Source organism: Homo sapiens, chromosome 5 (assembly GCF_000001405.40).
Source record: "Homo sapiens chromosome 5, GRCh38.p14 Primary Assembly".
NCBI lineage: Eukaryota > Metazoa > Chordata > Mammalia > Primates > Hominidae > Homo > Homo sapiens.
In genome coordinates, this window is record NC_000005.10 from 142,846,916 (window position 1) to 142,870,371 (window position 23,456).

General features: G+C 45.3%; 1 protein-coding gene and 1 long non-coding RNA gene across 41 annotated transcripts in view, besides 4 other annotated features; one reads left to right on the forward strand and one right to left on the reverse strand.

Moving 5' to 3' along the window:
- Positions 1 to 23,456, forward strand: part of ARHGAP26 (Rho GTPase activating protein 26) — a 458,635-nt gene that overhangs the window by 76,539 nt on the left and 358,640 nt on the right. The window lies entirely within an intron of this gene.
- Positions 12,689 to 21,995, reverse strand: ARHGAP26-AS1 (ARHGAP26 antisense RNA 1). Its single transcript, NR_046680.1, has 6 exons — positions 21,885 to 21,995; positions 20,942 to 21,174; positions 19,895 to 19,970; positions 13,390 to 13,648; positions 13,087 to 13,246; positions 12,689 to 12,827 (listed from the first exon to the last, which is right to left on the reverse strand). It is a non-coding gene; the product is annotated as an ARHGAP26 antisense RNA 1 (long non-coding RNA).
- Positions 15,884 to 16,500: an enhancer, noted in NCBI's record as "H3K4me1 hESC enhancer chr5:142242364-142242980 (GRCh37/hg19 assembly coordinates)". NCBI's record gives its function as "activates a minimal SCP1, AML or CMV promoter by ChIP-STARR-seq in naive and primed H9 embryonic stem cells {active_cell/tissue: H9 hESC(naive and primed)}" and the evidence as "EXISTENCE:reporter gene assay evidence [ECO:0000049][PMID:30033119]".
- Positions 16,501 to 17,117: an enhancer, noted in NCBI's record as "H3K27ac-H3K4me1 hESC enhancer chr5:142242981-142243597 (GRCh37/hg19 assembly coordinates)". NCBI's record gives its function as "activates a minimal SCP1, AML or CMV promoter by ChIP-STARR-seq in primed H9 embryonic stem cells {active_cell/tissue: H9 hESC(primed)}" and the evidence as "EXISTENCE:reporter gene assay evidence [ECO:0000049][PMID:30033119]".
- Positions 17,118 to 17,734: an enhancer, noted in NCBI's record as "NANOG-H3K27ac-H3K4me1 hESC enhancer chr5:142243598-142244214 (GRCh37/hg19 assembly coordinates)". NCBI's record gives its function as "activates a minimal SCP1, AML or CMV promoter by ChIP-STARR-seq in primed H9 embryonic stem cells {active_cell/tissue: H9 hESC(primed)}" and the evidence as "EXISTENCE:reporter gene assay evidence [ECO:0000049][PMID:30033119]".
- Positions 20,109 to 20,403: a silencer, noted in NCBI's record as "tiled region #7053; HepG2 Repressive DNase unmatched - State 8:EnhW". NCBI's record gives its function as "represses a minimal TATA promoter and a strong SV40 promoter by Sharpr-MPRA in HepG2 cells {active_cell/tissue: HepG2}" and the evidence as "EXISTENCE:reporter gene assay evidence [ECO:0000049][PMID:27701403]".

Below are 23,456 nucleotides of genomic sequence, written 5' to 3' on the forward strand. Positions count from 1 at the left end.
GTGCTAAGGACTTTTCACGTCTTATCTCAGAACAACCTTATGAGGTGGGTAGGAAACCTAAGAAGGGGTCTGTGAAAAAATGGGTAGCGGGGGGTGATTCATGAAGGGCCCCATGTGGGGCTGCCAGAGTGAGAATCTCAGCTCTGTTGCTTGCTCTCGGTGCACCTTGGGCAAATCACTGTGCCTCTCTCACCTTCTGTTTTCTCATCTGTGAAACGGGGATAACAGTGCCTGTCTCATGGGATTTTGAGAGTCAAATGAAACAATGTTTGTAAATTTCACAGCATTTCTCTGATACACAGTAAGATCTCAATAAAAGGTGGCTATTTTTAAAATTACTATTATTAGGTACTGTTATCTCCTTGTTTTCAATATACAGAACCTGAGCCTTGGGGAAGCTGCCTCAGCTTAGGTCACACAGCGAATACAGCAAAGGATGGAGATGTCTTTTTTTTTTTTGAGACGGAGTTTTGCTCTTGTTGCCCGGGCTGGAGTGCAATGGCGCGATCTCGGCTCACAGCAACCTCTGCCTCCCGGGTTCAAGCCATTCTCCTGCTTCAGCCTCCGGAGTAGCTGGGATTACAGGCATGCGCCACCATGCCTGGCTAATTTTGTATTTTTAGTAGAGACGGGGTTTCTCCATGTTGGTCAGGCTGGTCTCAAACTCCGGACCTCAGGTGATCCGCCCACCTCGGCCTCCCAAAGTGCTGGGATTATAGGCGTGAGCCACCGTGCCCGGCCAGGATGATGATGTCTTAACTGCCATTAGGTGGCACAAATAGAGTGCCACGAAGAGGCTCAAGGGAGAGAAGCAGCACCTGTGTTGTATGGGTGGTGGGCAGTGCTGCAGGTGGACTGGCGTGGGCCTGGGAGGACTCCATGGATGAGATGGCATTTGGAGGTTTGGCCCATCTGGACACCTGGAGGTGGGGAAGTGCAACATTGCTGGTGGAGTGAACATCAGGGAAGATACTCAGGGTTGAGAATTGGGTTGTGTGTGAGCTCAGGCATCCTGATTCAGAGCAGAGGTGGGGCTGTGTAAGCCCATGAGGGCAGGGGCTGGGCTGGGTTAGTTCTGTCCTAGAAGAGTGCCTACCACCTGGGAGGGGCTCCACACACAGTTGTTCAATCCAATTGAATGGCAGTGTCTGAAGGTGGCAAGCTTTAGTTGGTGAAGGGGAGTGATCTGGGAGAAAGGAATTTTGAACTTCAGTTGGAGAAGTTGATTTCTGCCCACAGTGAGACGTGGAATTCTTTCATTTGTATTGCAAAAGGCTAGCTCTCTCAGCCGCCTGGTATTAAACTGTAAGTTGCTCTAGACACTAGTTTTGGTTTTATCTGGACAGTGAATCTGATACTCTCTGAGCTGTTTGGTCAACATTGCTTATGGTAATAGGAGATTACAGGACTGGGTGGCCATCACTCCCCGGGGTCTTTTAAATTTAAGACCACAGAACCTTGAACCAAACAAAAGCTTGTTTGAAGTGAATAGCGTGTGTGGCCCTGTGGTTTTCCCAGTCCCATTTTCCTCCTTTACTCCCTTCCAGTTCTTCCTTGTTTTCTGTGGTCAGATTCTCACCATAGGTGGTTCTCCAGCCTTGGCACATCAGCTGAGTGCAGGCGCTCCTCACTTTGTCTAACATATGTGTTAGAGTAAGGCTGTGTGAACATCATAGTTGTGTAGGTGGCGTGGAAGCTGCCGAGGTGAGCACAGTGTGAAAGAATTTTGCTTATAATGAGTCCTTAGTGAGGCAAAGGATGGCATTAGTTTTGAACATCTGTACCCTAATTCTGTATATGATTCTTTGCATGGTTTTTATATGTTAGGTTTTCCTGTAGCAGTCTACAAAATTGGAAGTTCCTTAAGACAGGGGCCTGCTCCCTCACTATGTAACCTAGCCATGGCTTGTGGGAATTAACCAGTGGGCATCCGATTTATGGGCCAGGCAGCTCTTTCTTTCCCGCCTACTTGGTTTCTTGGCCCTACTAAGTAATGACTGTCAGAGGACAAACATGGGTGTGTTAGAGATCTCAGGAGCAATTGGTTATCTTTGCACTAAATTGGTTTTAAACTAGAGGTAATGATCTGAAATTTACTGGAAGTCTCTTCCATGTTGTTTATTGGTTCCATGGTGATACCATGCCCAACTCTAACTTGATTTTTTATCAAATGTGTTTATTACCCTCTTCTCTGAGCCACAAACAACACTTTAGAAGGGCATAAAGGGATGGGAGTCAAGGTCAGCAGTTTTGACAAATGATTTGAAAGATTGAAACCATCTCAGGATAATTTTCACTAGCTAAAGCAATTCCAGTAGGTTTTCATTGTGAAGTAGGTGTGGACTCTTGTGTTCTCACTCTTGGGTAAGACAGGTTCTCACACCAAAAAGACCCAAGACTTCAGAGCAGGGGAGGCACACCTCTTATCTCTCCCCTCCCAGAGCATTTCCATTTGTATTTGGCTTTTCTTTTAAAAAGACAAATGGTGCTTGAGAAGGTGTGCATACTTTCAAACAGCCGCCGTGAGATTTTGCTAACATTCCTTCTCTGTGTTGAAATTCTCTCCTCCTCCATTGACAGTGTGCTCTCCATGCTTCATTCATCCCCTTCTGAACGTCCCTTCCTTGCTCACCTTCTTTGTCCTGTGGATCTTCTCAAGGTTCCCTTCCTTGTGGGCTTCTCCTCCCCAACCAGAAGGTCTGCCTCTCTTTGTCACTAATCTCTCCAGTCCCTAGCTTCTGCCACCACCCACATGAACATGACTCCTAGACTTCCCTCTGGCAGCCCCAGCCCCTCTCCAGTTCTTTAGTTTCTTGATGTCTGCTGGCATCTCTAATCTGTATGCATTGCTGGTGCCTCAATCCTGCCGTGTTTCTGTCCTCTTTCCTCCAGTCTGCTTCACCTCCCATGCTCCCTGTTTCTGTTAAAAATGCTGTTGCTGTCCCCGTCATCCAGGCACAACCTCTGGACCCACATGTGATGATTTGTTTCACCCAGTTAGTCCCCAAACCCCACGGGTGTTCTTCTGCACACACTCTTCTCACCACGCCAACCACTGCTGGTTCAGACCCTGGCTACCTCTAAACTAGGCCCCAGCCAGAGCCACCTCACTTGGATCTTTCCTTCCCTTCCTCTGTGGAGACAGAGACTCTGCTCTGCTGCCTCCTGCAGCCTCATGCCCTCATTGTGTTCCCTAGGCCTCTTCAGAGCTCTGCCTACCTCTCCTGCTCTGCCTATGGCTTGTCCCCTTCTTTTGGCCCTACTATTTCCCGTGTGTGCAGCCCAGTGTCCTGCCTCTGTGCTTTTGTTTAAATTGTCCCCTCTTCCCATAGGGGTTATTCTCCCCATCTCTCCTTGGTCAATTCCTTTGTGACCAGTTTAACTCCTCCTTCCTTAGAGGAACATCATCCTTTCAGTGGGGGCAGTTTCTCCTCTGACTGAATTCTTATTACAGATGCTCTCTCTCTCTCTCTATGGTGCTTACTGCTTTTTCTTTTTCTTGCAACCAGCATTAAAAACAACAACAACAACAACAAAACACACAAAAAAACAACATTCTGTATTTTTGAAGCATGGTAGAGTTGTTAAGAGTAAATTAGGAGTCAGACCTATACTTGCATACAAACTTTCGAAGTTATTAGCTATATAAGGTGGAAAAGTTTCTTAATATCTCTGAGCCTCAGTCTCTCCGTAAAATAGGTATAATGATGCCTTCCTGATTGAGCTCTTGGGAGGATTGAAGGAGATGGTATAAGTCAATGTCAGACACATAGTAGGTCCTCTATTAGTCCTATTTCTACCTCCTCCCTTCTCATTAGGCTGCTAACTTCTTCAGTCTGCATACATTTTAGTTTTGTATTATGCAGAGCCCTGTGCCTCATATGTAGCAAATAAGGAATAGCTATTAGCTGGATAGCCAATGGATCTGAAAGGACTTTAAAGAGAAAGGATTTTAAGAGAATCACTGGTATAGCCAATGCTTCTACTGTGCAAATGTCTAGCATTAGAGTGGTGGATAAGCTCGATATGCAGTGTCAACCAGGCCACAGGAAGATTTTTGTATCACCTCTGAGACACGAATAGTTTACACTACAGATTAATCAGGATGGATTTAATGATGAAATAATTTAATTGTTTCACAGATGAGTGGATTTTGTATTTTTGTTCCCATGGAAAATACATTTTTTTTTTTTTTTTCCTGAGACAGAGTCTCACTCTGTTGCCCAGGCTGGAGTGCAGTGCATGATCTCGGCTCACTGCAAGCTCTGCCTCACGAGTTAAAGCGATTTTTCTGCCTCAGCCTCCCGAGTAGTTGGGATTACAGATGTGTGCCACCATGCCCGGCTAATTTTTGTATTTTTAGTAGAGACGGGGTTTTTCCATGTTGGCCAGGCTGGTCTTGAACTCCTGACCTCAGGTAACCTGCCTGCCTCGGCCTCCCAAAGTGCTGGGATTACAGGCGTGAGCCGCTGCGCCCAGCCGGAAAATACATTTTTGACATTAGCTAAGATAACATCAGGCATTAGCTTGTTAGCAAACATTATTCTACCATATCCAGGCTTGAGATTGTAATTTTAGTAGTTCAGTTCAGTTGTTTTATTATGAACAGCTTGGCATTTTGCCCCTCATAGGCTCATGCACAAGAACTGAGTTTTACCTCATAATCAGAAGGTAACTCCCAACTATTTATGGATCACTGATGGAACTGGTGTCTCCCTGGCAGCTGTGCAGAATTGGTTATAATCCTTTAGGCCCTATGTGGCCGCCCCCTCCCTCCCGTTTTACACTGGTCTCACCACCCCTGCCCTTTCTCCCACGTGCTGGCCTTTAGTTGCTGTGTTTTCTCCAGCCACATGGTCTTGTGCACCTGGTGCTCTTTCGGCATGGCCTTCTCTTCTCCCTCATCTTTGTCAGGTTGACTTTATTTCTGCCTATTAATTTCACACTTTGTCATACAGAGGTCCAGAGACTTGCCTGAGGTCATAGCAGGTTATTCATGGAGTCTGGCTATTTCCAGGGTTCACTCTACATAGGCACACAGTCCCTCCCCAGTCTTGGAAAGATGATTCATGTTGACCAGAAATTCAGCTGTCCTCTAGCAATAGTTTGGGTTTGCTGACAGTCTCGCTCCTTCCGGAACTTGATAAAATAATGATAAGCACTTGTTCTAGAGGGTTGGATAGGTTTTCTGTGAAGAGGCAAGTAATGCTGTGCAGAGGAATGTTAAAGAGAAAAGAAAGAGTGAGGTATGCAGCCGCCGGCAAAGCATCAGAGAGGTAGTTTGGCCTGCAGGGCCTCTGAGCGGTCAGAGGTAGTTTAGAAGGGACAGATCTCAGGTGGGAGTCATTCAGCCTTTGCAGTGTTGTGGGATGCTCACATATGTTAGTGAGTATTGTTGAGGGGACCTCATTGTCCTCTGGGGACATGGAATTGGCCCTCCTCACAGGCATTGCTGAGTTCTTTACTAGTGCTGGCTAAGGTCAAAGGCATTCTTGGGAAAGCAAGTCAGCATGGCAGGATCAGCAATCTTAAAACCATCCTTCTAACTCTTACAAAATTCAGGGAGACTGTCTTGGAGCAGATTTATTTTATTTTTCCCTAAATGACTAATTATAGCATTCGTGCTATTAATATGGATGCCTATGGCTTGTAACAGTCGGGATTTCTGTTCACATCTCACATGCATTCTCGCATGTTGATGCATTTTGGCTGCTTGCTGCCTGTGGACTGCCAGCAGTTGAATTGGTTTTCCATGATTTGGTCGAGTGTCTTGGAAGGAGACAATGGGAAGGTTCTTTGATCCAGAGGAGGTCTGTGTTTCCCTGGAACTCTGTCATCATGATAACATGATCTCACTCAGTAAGTTGGTGACTTACTTACGTTCTAAAAGACCAACAAAACAGAGTTTACCATGTAGAAGCCTTGTGTGTCGCTCTGCCTGCAGTCAGGGATTCGAGCTGCTGTCTCTGCATGTCCTGTTGAAGCACCATGACATTGAGCCTCTCCTTTGGCACAGAGATATCAGAGTCTCTCTTTTGCAGAGGCCTGCTGCTTTGAAACCTTTGACCTCCCTCATTTCTCAAGCTTGCCTTTATCGAGCTCCAAAGGTGGAGGAAGTACTGATGAGGGGAGGCCAGAGAGTCTACTCAGCAGAGAGCAGTGTCAGCTGATTCTCAGTTTGGCCCAGAAGAAGTACTTAGACTCTGAAGTGGGTTTCTGGGGTGATTGGTGAGAACTTATCTTTATGGTAGCTTAGATTTTATTTTTTAATTTTATTATTATTTTTTGAGACAGGGTCTTCTTTTGTCGCCTAGGCTGGAGTGCACTGTTACCATCTTGGCTCACTGCAACCTCCGCCTCCTGGGCTCAAGTGATCCCCCTACCCCTACCTCTGCCTCCCAAGTAGCGGGGACTGCAGGCATGTGTCACCACATCCAGCTAATTTTTGTATTTTTAATAGAGATGAGGTTTCACCATGTTGGCCGGGCTGGTCTCAAACTCCTGACCTCAAGTGATCCACCTGCCTTGGCCTCCCAACGTGCTAGGATTATAGACGTGAGCCACTATGCCCAGCCTAGCTTAGATTTTGTATTGAGGGTTCTAGAGTCAGGCTTCTGGGTTTTCACCTTGGTTCTATCACTTACTGGCAATTTTCCCTTTTGTAAAAGGGATTTAAACAATAGTATCTACCTTGTAGGGATTTGGGGAGAGTTGAATGAATAATATCTTTGAAAGCACTTGGGGGCTAGCACAGAGTAAGCTTTCAACAAATCGTTGTCTATCATGATGTTGAAAATCCCTCAGAGTAGCCTTGACTCCACGTTCTCAGATGCTGTAGGTCCTTCTCAGTGTGTAGGCAGCACTTACCTTTTCCACTTGAGTCCACACTGGCAGGAGGCTACAAGCTTCCAGAGAGTTGGGTTATGCGTGTTTCTGTTTGTAGTGTAATGGGAAACACTAATGGACAGTACTAGCCCTTAGTAAATGTTTAATAATTACTTGTTGAAGGAACGAATGAAGCTGTGAGCAGGCCAAGAACAACAATGTGGCAGGGTGGTGTGTTTCCTGTAGCTAAGTCAGTTTTGTTAGTTTATGACTACAAGAACCTTCATCATCCTGGAGATCTTGAGAGATCATAAATGAGTAGCAAAATATTGGGGAAATTATTATGTTTTTAAAAGCTTGTCACACAAAAAACTGCATGTGTTTAATGGCACACTTTGATAAACTCTGTTACCTGTATACATTCATGAAGCCACCACCACAATATTGGGAGAATTCTTAATGCCTGTCTCTAAAGTGTTTTATTTCTCTGTTGCTGATAAACCACTTCCACCTTTGCCTTGAATATGGCTCCCTGCCTCATAAGGAAGGTAATGGGAATCTGCTTTGTTCCTCTCCACCATATTCTTTTCTAGCTTGCATCTGCAGTTTTACATTCTTGCCACTGAAATTTTCAGTGTTTATAGTGTGTATTTGTTGAGTGTCTGTCTCCAGTAGGTTGTAGGTTTGGGGAACGTAAGGACTATGTCAGTTTTGTTCAGTGTCTTATTCTCCATGCCTCCCACAGTCCCTGAAATAGGAGGTGCTCAATGAAGAGTTAAAGGATGAATGGGTGAGCCTATTGCCAGAATAAATATATGACACTGTTATAATATATGGCCCTGAGTTGGAAGCAAAGGAAACTTGACTTGTTCTTGGAGATTAAAAGTTATTCTTACCTTCAGCAAAGGAAAATGAAAGGGAAGAAAGGTCTCCTAGGATCTGAATTACTTTAACTTCGTTACTGATATGAGACCGAGTAGACCCTGGAAATGCAGGGAATCTAACATGGCTTAAGCCAGACCCAAAGATGAGGCATGTTGGGGTATTGTGAGACAGCTGTCATTCTGAGACCCAGCTGCTTTGTAGGAGGTTAAATGTTGATGTTGGGACTTTGTATTTTTGTTTCATTGCAAACTGTTTCTCTACTCTACGCTCCCATGGAAGGGGCTTTAACTGGATGTGCTGTTCAAAGGACCCCCCAGTCCCTTTTGTTCTCCTTCAGCTTGTGGTATCCTTCCCTTGCCTCCACATCATATATGACAGTAAAGTGTTTAGAGTCAGCTCTGGGTCCCTCAGAGAAAAGTCTCTCTTAAGGCACTAGATAAAAGAAGAATCACAAAAATAATAATTAAAAATGATACAACCTGGCAGCGGTGTGTGGTTTGCATTTTGGCAAGAGTGAAGTCACCGTTTTAGAACATAAATGCTCTCAGTGGTGGAGAAAGACTGGCAAAACAGCCTTTTAAAACCCCCATTACAGAAAGAAAGGGCAGGGGTGGGAAGACAGAGAGCATATTTGTGTTTGTGAAGCTGTTTTTCTACTAAATGTTTACAGAGGAGGTCGAATACCAGATGCATTTAGGGTTATTGTTTTTTTCAGATACTAGGAGGCTGCTGGTTGGTCTGAGATGAAATGAAGTGGAGGTTTTAGAGGTGCCACTTAAGGAGGCTCTCGTATCTTTTGCACTTTTGAGTTGTGCTTTGTGCACATTTCATCCCAGGTGCTTTGCTCCCTAGATATCCATCCACCCTTCCATCTGCCCATCATTATTGACTGCCTGTTATGCACTAGGCCTATATCCATGCATCTCTCTGTCCAACCATCTGTGTGTCCATCTATCCTGCTGGCTGCCCGTTATGTACTAGACACTATTCCTTCCTTCTATCCATCCTCAGTGTCTTCATCTTCTGTCCATCCAGCATTATTGGTTGCCTATTATGTGTCAGGCACTGTTCTCGGCCCTGGGTACCCTGAGTAGGAAATAATTTAGCTGGGAAGACAGGCTCATGAGCAAGATTGTTTTATTGTTTTCTGGTTTGGATGTGAGGCTACTAATGACTGACTTATATACTCTCACTTGTAATGCCATGAAGGCACAGCCTGTCTACTTTTTACTTACTGTTGTCTCTCCAGTGACTTATTACCAGGAATGTAGGTCCACAATACATAGATTTTTGAATGAATAACAATAAATGAGTGGTCTTTATGGCATAGTCTACTCCTTTAAGAGGTGTATAATCGCGGCTGTGAGAAGTCACACAGCAGACAGACCTCATTTCTGGACCAAGTAATGAAGAGTGAGGGACGTCTCTTTATGTTATTGTGTTCGCCATCTGTTTGCTCCTGTGGACAAAGCTGAAGTGAGCACTGGGCTGTGGGTGGTGTACGAGACTGACCTGGTCCCTGTCTTCTTGGAGCTGCCCATACTGAGCAAGTGTGAAAAGTGTTGGGAGAAACCCAGGAGCTGTGGGCACACAGTGGGGGCCAGCCTGGGCCATGTGCGTGAAGCCACACCTTGAAAGAGGTTCCTGGAGGGCCAGGTGGCAGTCGGTTGGTTGTGTTGGTCAGGGTGGGAGAGGCCTTTCGGGCCAAGGAGGATGTATGAGGGTGCTGATCTGAGGACACCTATCTTGGAAGATCGCTGTTTGGCCAGTGGGAGGGTGACTCTGAAGTGAGGCTGAACAGACCACCCACAGTGTTGAAAGAGCAAGGTTTCCTTTTTTCGTTGTGGCAGAACCCCTAGGTTTTGGTAACAATATGACTTTAAGGCCCAGGCTCCCTAAGGAGGGAGGTGTATTAGCCTCTTTAGGCTGACATCACAAATTACAGCCAGGCCTCTATATCTGTGGGTTCTGCATCCATGAGTTCAGTCAACTGCGGATGGAGAATATTTATTGCATCAGTACTGAACATGTACAGACTTTTTTTTCTTTTTTCTACTCTCAAGCAATACAGTATAACAACGATTTACATAGCATTTACATTGTATTAGGTATTGTAAGTAATCTAGAGATGATTTAAAGTATACAGAAGGATGTTTGTAGGTTATATGCAAATACTATGCCATTTTATATCAGATACTTGAGCATCCATGGATTTTGTTATCTGTGGGGAGTCCTGGAACTAGTCCCCATGGATCCCGAGGGACAACTGTACCATGAACTGGGTGGCATAAAACAACAGAAATGTGTTTTCTCACAGTTCTGGAGGCCAGAAATCTGAAATCAGAGTGTCAACAGGGCCATATTCTTTTGGAAGGCTCTAGGGAAGAATCATTCCTGGCCTCTTCCTGGCTTTCCTTGGTGTTCCTTGGCATGTAGCTGTGTCACTTCAGTTTCTCCCTCCATCTTCACAGGGCCTTCTTCCCTGGGTGTGTGTGTGTGTCCTCACTTCTTCTTACAAGGACACTAGTCATTGGATTTAGGACCCGTCCTAGTCCTATATGACCTCATTTTAACTAGTTACATCTACAAAGACCCCATTTCCAAATAAAGTCACATTCTGAGGTTCCGGGTAGACATCAATTTTGAGGGTACTATCCACTACAGGAGGGGATATTGAAGTGGGTGGACCTGTGCTAGGAGGCTTCCTCCAAGTCTTTTCATTCTTCAAGATTCCTGGGTTGATGGGCACAGTGAGGCTGCTTGGGGGAGGGTGGGCCAGCAGCTGCTAGGATTCCTGTCTCTGCTGAGGGCTCCTGGGTACAAGGTTCTTCTCAGGTGCCCAAGAGAAGCTGTGTGACTGAGAGAGGTGGCCCTGCTCATGCATGCCTCTGGCTCAGGGTCACCTCGTCCCTCCTGCAGCAAGGGAAGCATGTCAGGGTTTCTTTCTCACTGTCCTAGGAGCACCTTGATATAGGAGGAAGTGTCTGTGAATAAATAGCTAAAATAATTAATGACCCTAGCAAACAATGGCTTAGGGTTTTTCCACGGTTCTTCTCTCCTCTGGGAACAGTTTCCTGCTGCTTTCTTGGAGGTGTGTTGCCAGGGACTTTCCGGGTCTTCGGGACATCACTTTCCTTTTCTTTCTTGTTTCTCTGCTTGCTCAGGTTTAGTGCTATTAGCTTCTTCCATTTCTCTGGTATTTAAATATTACCTGCAGTGTCTTTCTGTAACAGTGGTTTTTAAACTTATTGTGCATAGGAATCATCCGGAGAGTTTATTTTAAAAAGGCATACTTTCAGATGTATTTTCCAGAATTTCTGATCCCATAAGTCTGGGGCAGTTGGATTCAGGTGAAATTCAAAAGCCAAATCAAGAAACACGTCTCCAAAGAGAGAGGGAGAGGGAGAGAGAAGGAATGAGAGAGAGAGAGAGAATCTGTGTGTGTGTGTGTGTGTGTGTGTGTGTGTGTGAGAGAGAGAGAGAGAGGGAGTGTGTGTGTGTGTGTGTTGCAGGCATGCTTTCCCTCAAGTGATATACCTGATGTATTAGAAGGGATGGTTTTTGTATTTACCTGATGTTAATTGGCACGGTTTGTCACTAGTTTATTTAAAATTCTGGCCTAGATACACTGTTTAGATACACACATGCAAATTCTTCTTTTATCATTTGCCTAGTGGCAAAGTGGTTTTAAAATAATATCAGTGGTACCTTGAAAACATTATAGGCATCTTGTTGGCTAAGGAAGAAAGTGAGTGGGGAATGGAAATGGGTGTTTTATGGCTTCAAGACTAAGCCTAGGAAATGGTGTTCTGATTGTTTTGTGTGTCGTGAAGGAGTGAGTAATGGGATGGCTGTTTTGTCTACATTTCTGGGACTTAACATTCCCTTTTTAGAAAAAGGGGATTGCAGGGTTTATCATTCTTCTGACCGAACTCTTAAAAAAGGTTACATTCTTATTTGCTTGCTTATTTATTTATTTAGAAACATTATTGGGGGCTTCTGGCGTGCTAGAATTGTGATGACTATCCTTTTATGAACAAAACAGTCACGGCTACTGCCTGCCTGGGGTTTATAATGTCATCGGAGCTGTTCACATTAAACAGTCACCACACTCAAAGAGATTACCAATTGAAGGGATAAGAAAGGGAATTCTGGGGAGCTATGAGAGTGTACCCCTGGGGTGGATAGGGAATGCGAGGAGACTGCTTCCCTGAGGAAGTGACCCTTCATGGAGAATCTAATGGGCTAAGGGGCAGTAACTAGGTGGGGAGACAGGGGAGTGTTTCAGAAAGAGGGCACAGGACAAGTGCTAGGCTTTGTGGCCGGATGGATTGCGGCACCTTTGATTATCTGCAAGTTGGCCAGTGGGGCTGGGTATGGAGTGAGGGCAAGGCCAGTGGGGTGTGCAGACGAGGTAGATTTTGTAGACCTTGGTTGGATTTATTTTGAGTGGGGTGGGAAGAGTTATAATCAGGGAGGGTATGGAAGGGACCATCAACAAGATCAGGTCTGCCTTTTGAATAGGTTGTTCTGGGCAGCTGAGTGACAAATGGACTGGGAAGCATCAGGAGGGAAGCGGGGAGGCCAATTAGGAGTCCAGGCCAGAGATGATGGTGGCATGGACCCAAGTCTTTCTCAGGGTACCAGTTGGAGGAGAGGAGAGCTAATTGAGGTTGTAAAGCAATCCCAGGGTATTCCCGTGCCCAGGACTGGGTACTTAATCTGTGGGGCTCCTTTTCAAAAAGCAGACATAAGTACTGTTAAAAGCATTAAAATAGAAAGCTGTTTTCTTTCTTTTCTGGTTTCTTTCCTGATGTGTGGTGGTATTTTTAATCTGCCCATGTTCTTCTAAAAAGGAAGAATTAAAATTTTAAATTATTAGTATGAACTCTTCTGTTCATCTTTATATTGTACAATGCCAATTTTCAATAAGATCATCTGACTTATATGCAGAATCACTAGAATTATACAATCCATATTTCATAGCTCATATGCATTTATTTCATTCTTCCAAGAACAGTGGAAATGTTGCACAAAATCAGTTTTCATTTTTCTTCTTGATGCATGCACATTTTCCCAGTGTGCTCCACCTTCAGCGTACGATGTGTGAGGAGGGCCTGAAAGGAAAGGAACTATGGGTTGCCCAGTCTGTCTCTGTCCTAGGTTACCATGATCAGTGTCAGTGGTTGGCTTATCCAGGGAAATAACATGAGGAAGAAGGCTATGATAGGGTTCCTGGGCCGTTCATGTTTCTTTGGATGCCATTGTCTCATTGTCATCTTCTTGCATCTGGCAAGTTCTGGTTGAAATGGTAGGTGTAACCCCTCAGGGCTGTCAGCGTTCCCCCTTACTCAGTCGTAGATATAAGACACTTACCTTGCACTTACTTTGAGTCTCACTGAGCTCCCACACATGGTGGGTCCACCAGAATTCTGTGCACTGGGGCCACAAGGAGCCCCAGTGCGCCCGCATGACATCCCGGTTGTTGTTCCTGTCTCCTCTGCGCACACATGCTCCACTGTCGCACTGGATCTCACTTGCAAAACACAAGTTCAAAGATAAAATTATTAAAAATTTCAAGACAGCTACAGCAGAGCATTAAGCCAAGCAGGCCCTTCTGAGCATGGGACCCTGTGCATCTGTACTGGTTGAATGCCCATGAAGCCGCCCTGCCTATACCTTAGGCACTTGGAATTTTCAGCTGCCCTGTGAGCCTGTTTTCTGGATTCACTTGAGTCTGTATGTCAGGTTTAATATTTGCAGGCTCAGAGAAGATTAGCTGGGCAGAGCCTGTATTGGCAGCTCCAGCCTAGGACTGTAGTCCAAGAGTGCTTGGCTCTCCAGCTGCCTCTTCTGTGGGAAGCCTGGTTTCCGGATTGGTTTCTGGGCAGTCAGCACCAGGGCCATTCATCAGCTCCAGGTGCCATGAGCTGGGTTTCTACAAAACAAAGATGTGTTCCCAGTCAGTTGTGTAGGCTTCAGAATAAGGAGACATGATTGAGAACATGTTTTGAAGAAGACTCAGGCTTCAGAATTTGTGATTTTTAAATTGAATTAGGATGTTTCCTCCTCCCACCCCTGCTGTCACCTAGCTTTCTTCTACCACGAGCATTAATTGCCTGCTTTGGGAACATTTGTAAACCCACTGTCATGATTTAGAAGATCCGGCTTGCTCTGTGGAGCTCCACCTTTGTCATCTGGAGGGGTTCCATTACTGGTACTTAGTATTAGATGTTCTGAAGGGTTAGGTGGTATCAGCTCTCAAACTTCAGCATGGATAAGAACTGCCTGGGAAGCCCAGGCTCCTAGGCCTCAGCCCTAGAGATTTTGATTGAGGGTGGGCTCCCTGGAAGGGCTCTTGCAACACCTATTGCAAGCGGTGTTCAGACACGTTTTGAGAAACACTTATCTTTGGCCTCTCTCATTCTGTGGTGGTCTGCAGTGGCAAGGGGTACTCCTTGCTGGAGCATGAGTTCCTGCCTGGACTGGAATCCAGGCTGGAGAGGAGACGGTGCAGAGTGGGGAGGCGGGGAGCCTGGGGATTTCGTGGGCACCTATGAGGAGGGTAAGTGTTTGCCCACTCAGGCTTCCGTTCTTGGTCCCTGGAGCACAGCCTCCCCTGAGGTATAGCAGAAAAGTGACTAATTAAAGAGGGGATAAAAGAAAGTGAAACCAATTTCTGGGAATGTTATTAGGTGTGGCTTTGTTCAGAATGGCTAGGTCCGTTTTTTTTTTTTCTTTTTTCTTCCAGAAACATGAATTTCATCCAGGGGGAGATGAGCGGATTTTTGTTTTTTAACTGAATTTATTCTGATGCTTAGGAGTTGCCACCTTGCTTCCTGTGGTATTAGTGGCAAGGAGTGTCTGAGCTGTGTCCAGGGATCAGGTGGATTCAGTTTTGATCCTAATTATGCTGTGTGGACTGACGGTGAGGAGGGCGAGAGGGAGTCAAAGTGGTAGGGGCCGGGTGGCTTCATTGTCCTTTCATTTTTACGCAGAAACAAATCAGCCTGGCATGTTATTTATTAAATATATATGTAAATGATTCTAATACCTATGGTTTATTGAGTGTTTGCTGCCGGCCAGGCCCTGTGCTAAGCACTTCAGTGCATCATCTCTCTTCTCACAGGAGCCTCAGGAGGCAGGTTTCCCTTTAGTGCCTTTTCACACAGGTGGAAATTGAGTACCTTGTAAATGGGTGAGATGGGATTTTGAACGCTGGGAGTCTGTTAACCACAAATCTAAGCTTATTTGGCTGGATGAAGGCCTCGATTTACCCACCATACCTTGTTTTTCTCTTGATTGCCCTCAAATTCACGTTAGCTGTTGGTAGGAACAGTGCAGGGGTTTCTGATCCTTGTGTATGGCTCCAGGTTCTGCCGTCTGTGACTTTCCGAATTCACAACTGTTGAATGCCAGTGAAACTCTGATTCTTTGGGCTTGGTTATGGGTTGGCTTGTTTGTTGTTCCTTTTTTTCTTTTTGTTCTTTGCTAGAGAAAGCTAGAAAGCTCAGGGATTACAGGGAGGTGACAGGCCTTGGCTTCTCTTTTCCTGCTTTTCAAGTGAGGTTCTTGCTTGCCCAAATTTGTTCAGGGCAAATGTGATTGCATGGACCCTGGAAGAGGCAGGCCTAAGGATGTGGAAAGACAGTAAGTTGTAGAACTTATAGACGTTGAGTTTTCCATTCACAGTTCTAACTCCAGTCAGAAAACCTTGTAACAGAAAGATTTGCATCCTGTGATGACCTGTGGAGAAATTAATTTGGCTGGAAATGTATTATCAGCCCTAATTTGTTATTTTGAAGTTGTCCTCTTTTTCATTTAAAAGTTTTACAATTATTTTGGTAAATATTTCTGCAGACTTTTCTGAGGTAGCAGTATTTTCCTTTTGTAATATGTATGAAGAAAGGCATAGAACAAGGATAAAATGGCAGTCTTTTGATAACTCCCTGGTAGAAGTGGTGGTACTCAGATTTCTAACTGTTTAACCAAGTTCTGGGTTCTGTCTGGGTGCGTGGGCCCTGACTGTGTGAACCTGGAGAGGCAGAGCAGTCCTTCCCAATTTCCTCATCTGCTTGACTTCTCTGGCTCTTTGTCCTGAATTCCATTTATTGGCAAGGCCTTTCTTTTACTTATAAACCTCTTCCAAGAAGGTCTGGCTTTCACTGTAAGTTTACGACGATAAATTTTCAGATGGTACACGTCACCCTCTTAATCTAATTGAGCCAGCACATCATTGTGAAGACATCATTTCATTTGGGGAGTATTAGTTGCTATGGTTATTTGCTGAGACTAACAGAGTCTGTGTTCTCTCAATTGGATTTTTGGAAACTGCTCTTTGAGAATGACATAGAGGTGTGCCTTGCTGTAGGAATATCCAGTATATAACCTCACCATTAAAAATAAAAGGCACAGAAAAGATACTTTGGGAGGGATCTTAGAGCTACGGAAAGGGGTTGGCTCCTTGGTTTTCAAGTGAGGTTTTTTTTTTTTTTTTCTTTTTGAGAAGGAGTCTTGCTCTGTCACACAGGCTGGAGTGCTATGGCACGATCTCGGCTCACTGCAAGCCCCGCCTCCTGGGTTCAAGCGATTCTCCTGCCTCAGCCTCCCGAGTAGCTGTGATTACAGGTGCCCACCACCAAGCCCAGCTAATTTTTGTATTAGCCAGAGACAGGGTTTCACTGTGTTGGCCAGGCTGGTCTTGAACTCCTGACCTCGTGATCCGCCCACCTCGGCCTCCCAGAGTGCTGGGATTACAGGCGTGAGCCACTGCGCCCGGCCTCAAGTGAGTTCTTTTAAGGCCGAGTGTGTCACATAACTCTCCCTAGGTTCACATGTATAGTTGGTGGCTGCACAAGGAGACACGCCATTTCTGGTTCTTTTTCTGGGTTCTTTTCTATTCTGTCTGCAACAGCTTAAGTTCTCTCAAGGAATTTATTCATTCATTCCTCCAATATATATTGAGGTCCTGTATGTTCCAGGCACGTGCTAGGAGAATAAAGAAGCTGTGATCTTCTCTGTCAGGGTCTTGAGTGGGAGTCCAAACCCTTGCCTTGGAGGGTGTGGTGCCTGGATCAGCACCATTGGCTTCACCTGGGAATTAGAAATGTAGACTCTCGGGCTCCCAGGCCTGCTGGATCACATGGGAATTTTGACAAGATCCCAGGTGATTGGGTGCACCTTAAAGCTTGAGTAGCTGTCTCTGCTGCAGAGGAAAAGGCATTCCAGAAACAAAATCTAAGTCTTGAGGCTCAAGCCAGGATCAACCCTCCCAGCCCCACTGCCTCCTATCTGCGCACCTGCTTGGTGTTGAGCAGAACAGAACTGCTGAGGTGTTGAGAGAGAGGAATCCCTGCTCCACCTGCCCCTCCCCACCATTCTTAGACCTCTATCTCCCTCTATCTCCACCCACCAGCCCCTACCGGTTTTTCCAGCCCTAGTCTGACCCAGTGAGTGGGTCTGACTTGTGTGGTCTCCTCTTAATTCACCACCCCCTCCCCTTTCTAGAAACGTGTCTACCTTAGGGGCCAAGCTCAAGTTCCACCTTCTGAGGAAGCCCAGTACTTCAGGCCTGTGAACGCTGTCAGTCTCTTGTGTCTTAAATGTCGTCTTAACACACTCATTCTTTTATCTGTTTCATCTGGGGCTGGCCTGCCTCCCCAGGCAGTGGACAGAAAGGATTTGATGATAGCACTGTTTCCCCGGTGCATTTAAAAGGCACGACTTGAGCTTAATAAACTTCACAAAAAGAAACCCATACTGCTTTGAGTTCGTTTAGTTAAAAATTGGTTTAGTTAAAAAATGGTCCATCCGGGTTTTGCCTTGCCTTTCATCTGCCAGAGGTGAAAGGAAATTGTAAATTTGTAGAAGCATTAGGGGTTTTCTGAGCACTGAAGAAAACCCTTAGGAACTCAGGTGTGTTTTTAGTAGTTCACAAGAATGGGGTTGATCTGGTGACTCAATGAGGCAAAAATTGCTTAATTGTTATGGTAATTAAGATTCTCCTTTGGTTGATTCTCCTTTCTCCAACCTGCTGGTAAACTTCCACTCCACCTCTGCTGTGGGAAGGAAAGCAAGGCAGGGCCGGGGGCATCCCTGTCCTCTCTCTTCCAGAACATGTGTCTTTCCTATTTTGAATTCCCACAACAGCCCTGTGAGGTACATACTGTCCTCACAGTTACATACATGCTTGGAAAGGTTGGGTAATTTGCCAAAGGCCACACAGCTGGGAAGTGAGAGACCGGGATTTAAGCTGATGTTTGCGCAGCCAATGCGCGTCATACGCCTCTGAATTACCTTCCCCTTGCCCCGTGTGTGTGTGATATTTGTACTTGAGCTGCCTGGAATTACCCTCTCTTTTTTGTTCCCTCACTTGATTAGTCCCTCTCAAAATGGGTTTCTTTGTTTTCATTAAGAAATGTCCACAGTCTTCCTTGAGGGAGTTTTTCCTGTGGTGACCTTCTGCTGTCTTATCATGTCTTGGGGCAGCATGTGAATGCAGTTGTTCTAAATACAGTACCTCAGTTCTCTGTGCCAGGGCTGAGCTGGGGCTGGGCTCTTTAGGGGTTGAGTTTTCATCGGAGATCCAATGCTGACTAACTCACTTGACACAGCGGTCATTGATCCAGTAAATGTTTATTAAGCACCTACTATGTGACTTGCACTGTCATTAAGCCAGTCCTTAATTTCTTCATCTAGAAGAGGTCAGGTGCTTTCACTTAACTCTCAATGTTCTTATGAGGAAAAGCCAATACAGCACTTTGGAAATACATATGTATTTGTATACATTATTTGCATACAGTTATGTATAAGTCGTAGTGGGCCCAGAACTTGGAGTTTTCAACACGGAGAAGTTTTTTTTTTTTTTTTTTTTTTTGAATCCCTTATAACTCTTTCCTTATCTCCTGGCTGACCAATGGTCTGTGCACAAATGTCCAAGTTGAGAGGTGTTGCCTGTCATTTAGTTACCTACAGGGAGAATGCCCCTTGGCTGTGGTTGCACATTCTCATAGTGAAGCTTGCTGGAGGAGTTACAGTAGGTGTCTCCAACAAAGTTCTGGGCCAGCTCCTTAGTAAAAGGCTTAATTGTTGTTTAAGTTGATCTTGTTGCTCCTCTGTATAACAATCCAGTTCCCATTTCTTTAAGGGAGTAAGTTCAAATTCCTTAGCTTGGCATACAGGTCCTTCCATGGTTTGATTCTAACCGGTCTTCCCACTCTGACCTCCTGTCCATCTAGTTAAACTTGCTGCTTTTTCTGGGTAGGTTCTGCATTTCGCATCTCCTTGCTCCATGTTTCCACTTCTATAGCATCTTCCCATGACTGCTTCCGCTTCCCTTTTCTACATATCCAAATAGGACTGAACTTTAAGGTTCAGCTCAAACGCTACTCCCTGTTCTTTTTCTTTTTTCTTTTTTTTTTTTTGGAAGCCCCCTCCAATGGCCCTAGCCGGAATAATATCCCACTTGCATTTCTGTAGCCATTTTTGTCTACTCTCTGATTGCCCTAGCACAGTCTACCTTAATTTTGTAGTTTTGCACACACAGATTAGGCCCTTCTAAAAATTGTATTCCCCTTAAGGCACGGAATGTATACATACCATCTTTTCATTTCTTTGAATACATTGATACCAGATTCTCAAATATTTGAGTAAATGAGGCAATATAGTGTAGTAGTTAAGAGTTTTGGAGTCAGAGAGACCAAGTTTCTTACATTACCACTCATTCCCTGCATGATCTTGGGCACGTTATTTAACCTCTCTGAGCCTCAGTTTCCCATCTGCAAAATGGAGGTAATAATATCTACTCAACAGAATGGTTGTGAGGATGGAGGGATTTAAAGTACTTGGTAGGTACAGTATTCAGTAAGTTAATGTATATAATATATTCATAGTTATTTGGATGTAGATTAAGGTGAGTTTGGGTAGCCCAAATTATTTTTAAGGGGTATTTCATCTAAATAGAATTAGAAACCTCATTTTGGAAAGAGGAGCACGTCTTTATTCTACTTGATTTCATTTTAAAAATCAACTCTGAAAATTTCATTAGCCTTAGTGCTCTGGTTGGAAAAACAAATTTTCCAGAATCAGTGCTGGTGATGGCCTCATTTAGGAAATGCTGTTTTAGGGAAATGGCCTCAGGAAAAGCACGCAGATGTATGATCAGAATGCATGTTATGTAACGTACCGTGGCTGATGTGGTCGGTGGGCACATCATCCGCCTGGGGGAGATAAGAGGTTTTCTGAATCTGCTCCAGCCAGATCTGAAAGAATGTGAGAGACACTGTGGTGGTGACTTCATCCCTATACCCCTCCCACTCCATGTCTCAGGCTTGACTTGCTGTATGAGAGCACAGGCCCTCCGAATGTGTTAGAGCACTTCTTCCAATGTGGAAGCCAGGGCCCCTCTCTCAGTTGCTGAGTGTCCACTGGACATTTCTAGGTGGTTATTTGTTCCTCAGTGGGACAGGATCTGTTCTCAGCACTGCCTTTAAGGCTGGCCCTGTCATTTCTCCTTGAGTCTTAGCTGTTGTTTAAATTAGCTGCTTGGTCAAGGTGTTCTCTGATATAGTTGATTGCCACCTAGTGGCCACAGGTAAGACCGTGTGTCACGGAAACGAGAAAAATGCTATGGAGAATTTTGTTTCATTCTAAGATTTGCACAGGGTGTGTGTGTGTGTGTGTGTGTGTGTGTGTGTGTGTGTGTTTTGTTTGTTTTTGCTAGTACAATGCCAGGAGTCTGGGCTGCAGAATGGTATTTACAAGGGACTGTAACTTGCTTTTCTTATAATGAAGCACATCGAACTAGGTTTAAACTGCTACATACAGACTTGGGGAAATGGGGAGTCGTTGGAAATGCCTCTCTCCAAGCACAGTTTCTGATTGGATATGTTCTCAGTTTTCCCAGATACGGGGAGAAAGAAAAGAGCGATCTCTGGGGACTCTTCCTTAAACCATTTTAACTGCAACCTGGGGCTTGTGCTGGGGCTAAGAGAGGACAGTTGGTTGTGGCCAGCAGTTGGGTTGTATGTAGCTCATTTCTCCAGCTTCCTTGGTATAGGTGAGGTTTTATTTTATGCTCCTGCTGGTGGTAGCTCTCCCTCCAGCTCTGTGGGACTCTTCCTCAATGGACAACATGAAGGGAGGTGGTCACATGCTAATAGGAAGCACATTCCCACATATATATCAGGCTCTAGCCAGACTTACATAAGTTGGAGAGTTTGTCCTAACTTACCTGCTTTTTTTTTCACATGTCAAACATTGAGTTGGGAGGTTCACCTCTGATGAAGGCTAATGGACTTATGGAGTGCCCAACTTCCTCTCTCTTTGTTCTTTCTGCAATACCTGCTCTCAGTCAAGCAGTAGAGTGTTGGGCTTTGGGGATAGAGTGGTGAGCATGAAGGGATATGATCCTCATCCTTATAGAATGTACTAGTTGGGGAGGCATTACTTGAAGAGAAGAATTACCTGAACAAATATAAAATTGCTCTGAAGAAAAGATCTATAGTATAGTACTCAGAGAGTGAGAAATAGGGTTGGGTTTGGCCTGATTAGAGAAGTCAGGGAAGGCTTCCTGGAGGAAAGAACTTTTGGGCCAAGGGCTGCAGGCAGAGGTGGCATGTGGTGGCAGGTAGGAGTTGGGCATGCCCCGGGAACTGGCAGAGGCTGGAGCAGCTGGAGCCCAGAGAGGGGTGTGGGGAGGCCAGACCCTGCAGGGCCTCTCAGGCCTTGGGAGGGACTTTCGTCTTCACCTCCAGAGCTCTGGGAAGCCATCACAGGGCTCACTGCTGGTATTGACACAACTGGGTGGAGAACTGATTTGACGGACAAAAGTGGATGTGGGGAGGCCAGAGAGGAGCAGTTGCAGTTATCTGGGCAAATGGAGGTGTTTTGTTTAGGGGTTGCTGATAGTGATGGGAAGGAGTGGGCAGAATTGAGATGTGCTTAGGAGACTTGGGAATGGACATGGCACATGAGGGAGCCTGCTGTGTGAGAGGATGACATGTACTGGTGACTTGTGCGGCAGGGTGAATGGTGGTGCCCTTCGTTACACTGGGGATGCAGGAAGAGGCCCTCGGCTGGCTCTCTGGGGAGAGGGTGGCAGAGGGTGTTTGAGTAGAGAGAGTTTTGTTTTGAGTGTGTTGAGTTTGACCTAGGAATGGGGGTGTGGGCTAAACCTGAAGTCTCTCTGGGGCTCGTGTCCATCCATGTCTCAGCTGTCTGTCATGGGTCCTCTCTGGAGACTCTCAGGTATTCCACCTGTAAGCCAGCTTGTGTTTCCTTGCCCGCTCACATCGTACAACAGGTTTGGAGGGACACTGTGTCCAGCCCTGTCCGAGGCACTCTTTGTGCATTGTGACATGAAGCCATTCATGACTAGTTCCAGAATTATTCCAAATACAAGGTGATGAGGCACAGAGAGTAACTGGCGTCCAGGAAAGGAAGAGATTAACAAGGCCCGGGGACTTTGGTATTCTTGAACTTTAGGCAGCCATGAGGCCAATCCTGTTGCAAGTTCTAACCTCAATGATGGCCTTTCTGAGCTGTAATCACTTTCTTTTCTTTTCTTTTTCTTTTTCTTTTTTCTTTTTTTTTTTTTTTTGAGACAGCGTCTCACACTGTCGCCTAGGCTGGAGTGCAATGGTGCAACCTCGGCTCACTGCAGCCTCAGCCTCCCGGGTTCACGCGATTCTCCTGCCTCAGCCTCCCTGAGTAGCTGGGATTACAGGTGCACACCAGTACACCCGGCTATTTTATTTTATTTTTTTTTGTATTTTTAGTAGAGATGAGGTTTCACTATGTTGGCCAGACTGGTCTCGAACTCCTGACCTCATGATCCACCCGCCTTGGCCTCCCGGAACTGTAATCACTTTCTAAGTCCAAAGGGAAAGATGTGACTGAGCAGCAAAACATTTCAAGGGTAGTTAATACACAATTTTGGTAACTTTGGAGGTCACAAAGGCAATAGATGCACTGAAAATACAGTAGTAAGGTTACCTGAGTCCATGTTTGTGTGTGCACATGTATGTTAAGTTTTACCCAAGGAGAAAAAGGAAATGGCTTGACTTGTGGTATTACTGGTACAACTTGTATAAAATTAAGGTAGATTCTAATTTTTAAAAAATTATGGTAAACCTTCTGTGTTAGTGAAAGTTGGATCTATTTGGGTTAAATTCTCTTAAATCCGGTGCAGATTAATATCTGCTGGCATCTCCAAGAAAAGAAGGGCACTTCCTCTAGTCCCTGAGTGAGCAGGTGGCTCTGGGAGCAGTCTCTCAAGGCCCAAACTTCTAGCTGCTTCCATATTTCTTAGCCATCTGGTCCCCTCACTCAGAGAAGCACAGCCCTACCTACTCTGGAAAGCAGATACTTGGCCTCCCCAGATGCCGGCAGTTATGACTTCCCTCCACTCTGGCCAGCATTCTGCTTTTCTAGCAACAGATGTTTCTGCAAAGTAAATATTATTGACTCTGCTTGGCTCCTTGCTGTGTCTTGCACTGCCTGCACATGAAACAGCAGGGTTATATGAGGAGGGTGCCACGACGCTTGGCATGCACCCAGCACCAGTGCCAGCCTCTTCTCTTTTCTCTCTCCTCTTATTGGAATGTGTGTGTTAGATTCCTGTGTGCATCAGAGGGAAAGCTCTTGAAATAAATCTTTGGGCTGCTCCATATCCAAGGTGAAAATCTACATAAGATACCACCAATCTTACTGGATTGAAATTGGCAAGAAGCAATGGTTTTTAGGTA